We start from the raw sequence: 6729 nt of genomic DNA, 5'->3' as shown, positions 1-6729 counted from the left end.
GAGGGCAAGGGCACCTGGAAGCCCGCAGAGGGGCGGCTCGGGGAGAAACCTCAGGCATGGCCGGGCCACCAGGAAAACACGGCCACGGGATCCCACCACCACAGACACGAGGGAGGTCCCGCAGTGACCCGCCTAGGATGCCGGATGGCCCTCGGCACCCACCAAGACCCGCCTCATGAGCCCCGGGTCCCGCCATCAGGACCCCGAGGCGACCTCAGCCACAAACCCAACGCCAGGGCCACGTTGCTCGTTTCTCATCCATCCTCCAACCCGGTCAAGCTCCAGGAGACCGACATGCCCCCCACTTGGGATGCTTCCCAGGGCCAGGTGGCCCAACCTCGTGCCACGCAAACGCGGTCGTCGGCACCGGTCGCTGCTCTGCAGGGGAGCGGGCAGAGAGCCGGCTCACAGCGGAATGGGTCACAAGCTGGACTGAACGCCAGGCACAGCCACCGCTCACGCAGCCTCCCAAATGCTAGGACGCCGGCCCGGCCCGGCCCGGCGGGATCCTCCCCCGACTCGGAAGGGGGAGGCGCGGGCCACACAGTAGGCGACGAGCTTCCCTGGGTCCCCACCGTGGAGGCTGGCGGAACCCTTGCTCTCCCCCCCTCACCCCATCAAGGGGGCAGTGGAGGAGGGTCCTCTGCAAGCCAGTCGCCACGGCAGCGCTACCATAACGCAGAGAGAGGCGGCAGGCCGGGGGATCCGGTACCCCAAAGGCACACCTCTCAGATCGCTAGAGAAGGCTTTCTCACTGAGGGTGAGTCACAGTTCCCACATGCCAGTCGCCCCTCGTCGGGCCCGCAGAGGCGCGCAGGGACGCCTGGGGAAGGGAGGGGGCCTGCGGTACCAGGAAAAATCTGCGTGCGGCAACCTTGAGCCTTCGCGGTCTGGGCAGGGGGCCTGGCCGCTGCACGTGTGCGCAATCCCACAAGGGCCCCCCCGTCGACCAGCCTCCTTTCTCCCAGGCAAAGCACCTCCAAGTAAACCCACACACAACCTGTCGGAGGCAGAACGGTAGCCCCTCGGCTGCCGGACGGCGCACGCGTCATCTGACCCAGCCCACCGCAATAGCTCACACGGCCCGCGCGCACCCGCCAGAGAGGAGCACGGGCCCTGCGCTCGCCAGATCAGGCAGCACTCTTCCCCGCGTGGGAGGAGCGCGTCTCACTCAACCGCCTCAACCCCTACACCAACGAGCTCCCTCAGGACCCACTCGTGGACATCGCGGCGGTGACCGGAGGAGGGGGCGCTGAGGGTGGGAACCACACACCACCGCTCGACCTCGGGCACCTGAGGGATAAGCTGGGGGATGAAGGGGAGGAGCCGGGCTTGGTAGGCTCACGCCTGTCATCCCTGCACTTTGGGAGGCAAGGGAAGGTGGATCCCTCGATCCAAGCCTTGGCAACATGGTGAAACCTCTTCTCTAAAAAAATACGAAAACTAACTGGTTTCATAAACTGGACTCAAAGTTAATAAATAGATAAGTAGGCCGGGAGCTGTGGCTTACGCCTGTAATCCCAGCACTTTGAGAGGCCGAGGCAGGCGGATCACGACGGTCAGGAGATCGAGACCATCCTGGCTACCACAGTGAAACCCTGTCTCTACTCAAAATACCAAAAATTAGCCAGGCGCTGTGGCAGATGCCAGTAGTCCCAGCTACTTGGGAGGCTGAGACAGGAGAATGGCATGAACCCGGGAGGCAGAGCTTGCAGTGAGCCGACATCATGCCACTGCACTCCAGTCTGGGCAACAGAGTGAGACTCCATCTCAAAAAAGAAATAATAATAATAGATTAAAATTGAAAATTTATAAAAAACGTAGCTGGCAGGGCTCAAATGTTCACGCCTGTCATCCCAGCACTTTGGGAGGCCGAGGTGGGCAGATCACCTGAGGTGGCCAGTTTGAGACCCGCCTGACCCACATGGAGAAATGCCGTCTCTACTAACAATACAAAATCAGCCGGGTGTGGTGACACATGCCTGTAATCCCAGCTACTCAGGAGGCTGAGGCAGGAGAATCGCTTGAACACGGGAGGTGGAGGTTGCGGTGAGCCGAGATGGTGCCATTGCACTCCAGCATGGGCAACAACAGTGAAACTCCGTCTCAAAAAAAAAAAAAAAAAAAATTAAGCACTTTATTCTGTTATTTTTACTTCCTACCCAGAGAAGAATATAATACAACTGTTGTCTGTCTGCCTGCCTGCCTGCCTGCCTGTGACAGGGCCTCACTCTGTCTTTCTCCCAGACTGGAGTGCAGTGACACCATTATGGCTCACTCACTGCAGCCTCAACCTCCCCAGGGTTAGGCGATTCCTCAAGGGATCCTATGGCCTCGGCCTCCCAAAGTGTTGGGGTTACAGGCGTGAGACACCAGCACCCGACCTGAGTTAATACATCTGGTCTCACTATGTCTTAACCACACACCCATGAAGAACTCAAGTCAAGAGAGAGTTTGTAAGAGACTCTCAGCATTCTCTCCCGAAAGCAGTGAGGTGGATGGCAGCCATGTGTCCCGAGCTCCTGTGGTTTTAGGTGGCCGTGCGTAGAGGAGAGATTTCCAATGTTTCCAGAGATGCGCGAGCCACAGTCATTCGGGGCATCCGAGCGCGAGATGAGGTTTCTGACAGCGACTTAAGGGCCAGAAGGGCCAGAATCTGCCAAGGCAAGTGTCCCAGGGTGGGGCCGATGGAACCCAAGGTAGAGGGAGTCAGCAGTCCACACAGAGAGAGCTCCAGCCTTAGGACCCACTGTGCAGACCGAATCAGAATGAAGAGAGTCCTTCGTCCTATATGCCACATCCCTCCACTGAACTTAAGAGTGGATCTGTTTTCCAAACATGAGGTGACTCTCACTTTGCCATGGATCACAAGGGGTTGGGCTTTCCAGAGTCGGCAGGCTAAAGAAGTCATTCTGGCTCAGCCTCCCCCATCCCCTGGTAACTGGTGAGTTTATTTATTATTTTTATTTTTATTATTATTATACTTTAAGTTTTAGGGTACCTGTGCACAATGTGCAGGTTAGTTACATATGTATACATGTGCCATGCTGGTGTACTGCACCCACTAACTCATCATCTAGCATTAGGTATATCTCCTAATGCTATCCCTCCTACCTTCCCCCACCCCACAACAGTCCCCAGAGTGTGATGTGCCCCTTCCTGTGTCCATGTGTTCTCATTGTTCAATTCCCACCTATGAGTGAGAATATGCAATGTTTGGTTTTTTATTCTTGCGATAGTTTACTGAGAATGATGATTTCCAGTTTCATCCATGTCCCTACAAAGTACATGAACTCATCATTTTTTATGGCTGCATAGTATTCCATAGTGTATATGTGCCACAATTTCTTAATTGAGTCTATCATTGTTGGACATTTGGGTTGGTTCCAAGTCTTTGCTATTGTGAATAATGCCGCAATAAACATACGTGTGCATAAGTCTTTATAGCAGCATGATTTATAGTCCTTTGGGTATATACCCAGTAATGGGATGGCTGGGTCAAATCGTATTTCTAGTTCTAGATTCCTTTGCCATCCCCATCAAGCTACCAATGACTTTCTTCACAGAATTGGAAAAAACTACTTTAAAGTTCATATGGAACCAAAAAAGATCCTGCATCGCCAAGTCAATCCTAAGCCAAAAGAACAAAGCTGGAGGCCTCACACTACCTGACTTCAAACTATACTACAAGGCTACAGTAACCAAAACAGCATGGTACTGGTACCAAAGCAGAGATATAGATCAATGGAACAGAACAGAGCCCTCAGAAATAATGCCGCATATCTACAACTATCTGATCTTTGACAAACCTGAGAAAAACAAGCAATGGGGAAAGGATTCCCTATTTAATAAATGGTGCTGGGAAAACTGGCTAGCCATATGTAGAAAGCTGGAACTGGATCCCTTCCTTACACCTTATACAAAAATCAATTCAAGATGGATTAAAGACCTAAATGTTAGACCTAAAACTATGAAAATACTAGAAGAAAACCTAGGCATTACCATTCAGGACATAGGCATGGGCAAGGACTTCATGTCTAAAACACCAAAAGCAATGGCAACGAAAGCCAAATTTGACAAATGGGATCTAATTAAACTAAAGAGCTTCTGCACAACAAAAGAAACTACCATCAGAGTGGACAGGCAACCTACAAAACTGGTGAGTTTAAATGAGCTAAGGCTGGCAAGGCCAGAGCTGCTACGGGGGGGAGGGGGGTGGGCGGGGTGGGGGAGTGCCTGAGGCACTGCAGAAAGTGGGTCTGAGCCTCGAGGATGACGGTGCTGCAGGAACCCGTCCAGGCTGCTATATGGCAAGCACTAAACCACTATGCTTACCGAGATGGGGTTTTCCTCGCAGAATGCCTTTATGCAGAAGTACACTCAGAAGAAGCCTTGTTTTTACAGGCGACCTGTTCTTACCGCCCAGAAAAGGCCTATAAAGCATATAGACTCTTGGAAGGACACAGTTGTCCTACACCGCAATGCAAATACCTGCTTGCAAAATGTTGTGTTGATCTTAGCAAGCTTGCAGAAGGGGAACAAATCTTATCTGGTGGAGTGTTTCATAAGCAGAAAAGCCATGATGATATTGTTACTGAGTTTGGTGATTGAGCTTGCTTTCCCCTTCCATTGTTGGGACATGTATATTGCAAGACAGATTGGCTTGCCAAAGGATCAGAATGTTACCAAAAGAGCCTTAGTTGAAATCCTTTCCTCTGGTATCCCTTCGAATCATTATGTGAAATAGGTGAAAAGCCAGATCCTGCCCCCAAACATTTAAATTCACAACTTCACAGAACTTTAGCAACTGTCTGCCCAACTCTTGCACAGCACAAATACCTAATCATAGTTTATGTCACAGACAGCCTGAGACTGTTCTCACGGAAACACCACAGGACACAACTGAATTAAACAGATTGAATTTAGAATCTTCCAATTCAAAGTACTCCTTGAATACAGATTCCCAAGTGTCTTCTATTGATTCAGCTGTAATTTCACCTGACACTCTCCCACTGGGAACAGGAACTTCCATATTTTCTAAACAGGTTCAAAATAAACCAAAAACTGGTCGAAGTTTATTAGGAGAACTAGCAGCTCTTAGTCCATTAACCCCAAGTTTTGGGATTTTGCCATTAGAAACCCCAAGTCCTGGAGATGGATCCTATTTACAAAACTACACTAATACACCTTCTGAAATTGATGTGCCATCCACCGGATCCCCTTCAAAAAAGTCTGTTGCTAGAATCGGCCAAACTGGAGCAAAGTCTGTCTTCTCACAGAGTGGAAATAGCCGAGAGGTAACTCCAATTCTTGCACAAACACAAAGTTCTCGTCCACAAATAAGTACATCACCTCAGGTATTGAGCCCCACTATGGCATCTCCCCCAAATGTGCTGCATTGAAGAAGTTCACGACTCTTTACCAGTGACAGTTCCACAACCAGGGAGAATAGGAAGAAATTAAAAATGAAGTTTCCACCTAAAATCCCAAACAGGAAAACAAAAAGTAAAACTAATAAAGGAGGAATAACTCAACCTAACATAAATGATAGCCTGGAAATTACAAAATTGGACTCTTTCATCATTTCACAAGAGAAAATATCCACAATCACACCTCAGATTCAGGCTTTTAATCATAAAAAGCAGCAGCAGAAGGCTTGATGAGCCTTCTTCGTGAAAGGGGAAAAGGTTATTTAGCTTTGTGTTCATACCACTGCAAAGAAGCTATAAATATTTTGAGCCATCTACCTTCTCACCACTACAATACTGGTTGGGTACTGTGCCAAATTGGAAGGGTCTATTTTGAACTTCCAGAGTACATGCAAGCTGAAAGAATATTCTCAGAGGTTTGAAGGATGGAGAATTATAGAGTCGAAGGCATGGAAATCTACTCTACAACATTTTGGCATCTTCAAAAAGATGGTGCTCTTTCAGTTCTGTCAAAAGACTTAACAGACATGGATAAAAATCCTCCAGAGCCCTGGTGTGCTGCAGGGAACTGTTTCAGTCTGCAATGGGAACACGATATTGCAATTAAATTCTTCCAGAGAGCTATCCAGGTGGATCCAAATTATGCTTATGCCTATACTCTATTAGGGCGAGAGTTTGTCTTAACTGAAGAATTGGACAAAGCATTAGCTTGTTTTTGAAATGCTATCAGAGTCAATCCTAGACATTGTAATGCACGGTAAGTGGTAATGAAGTGTAAAGACAAAGTCTTGTAGATGGTGCTGGTAGTCACTAATTTTTCTTGTTAGATAGCTCTTTTATTGTCATGAATTTGGTTACTAATATTTAGGGATGGTACATACTGGTCAATAACTTCAAACTAACATGTTTTCTTAGGAAATGTATGTCTTTAACAAAATCTTCAGTTAACTAATGATAATAGAATACCAGATCCTTATACTGAACAGTTTCAGTCTTCTACCAAACTTTTGCAGATACTGTAATTGTGTTTTATTTGTTTGTATGCTTGTTTAGTTTTGTTACTTGATTTGTTACTTTTTCTTCGAACAGAGAAATGGTGATTGGGACAAAAAGTGCTTGGGAAATTGGAAAGGAATAGCATAATTCACTTATTGGATAATAGAAAAAAACACTGAAAAAATTCACTAGTTGCTGCTTTTTGAAAGTGTTCCAGTTTATTGAGTTACTATTAAGAACTTAGTATACCCTTTTATTTAGCAGTATCTCTGTTTTCCTTTTTTTACTTCTGTATAAGTAGATA

At 47.9% G+C, this 6729-nt stretch overlaps 2 pseudogenes, besides 1 other annotated feature; both read left to right on the top strand.

Moving 5' to 3' along the window:
- Positions 1 to 2948, top strand: part of LOC107987204 (uncharacterized) — a 5751-nt pseudogene extending 2803 nt beyond the window's left edge.
- Positions 1 to 6729: part of a centromere (Linear centromere model derived predominantly from reads generated in PMID: 17803354. This region does not represent an actual centromere sequence, as long-range ordering of repeats and unmapped WGS contigs is not provided by the model. For details of model production, see http://arxiv.org/abs/1307.0035.) that runs on past both edges of the window.
- On the top strand, positions 4241 to 6190 carry CDC27P6 (cell division cycle 27 pseudogene 6; annotated as a pseudogene).

The sequence above is a fragment of the Homo sapiens genome, chromosome 14 (assembly GCF_000001405.40).
Source record: "Homo sapiens chromosome 14, GRCh38.p14 Primary Assembly".
NCBI classification, from domain to species: Eukaryota; Metazoa; Chordata; class Mammalia; order Primates; family Hominidae; genus Homo; species Homo sapiens.
The sequence above is the reverse complement of the archived record's forward strand: the minus strand, read 5'-3'. Positions and strand labels throughout refer to the sequence as shown.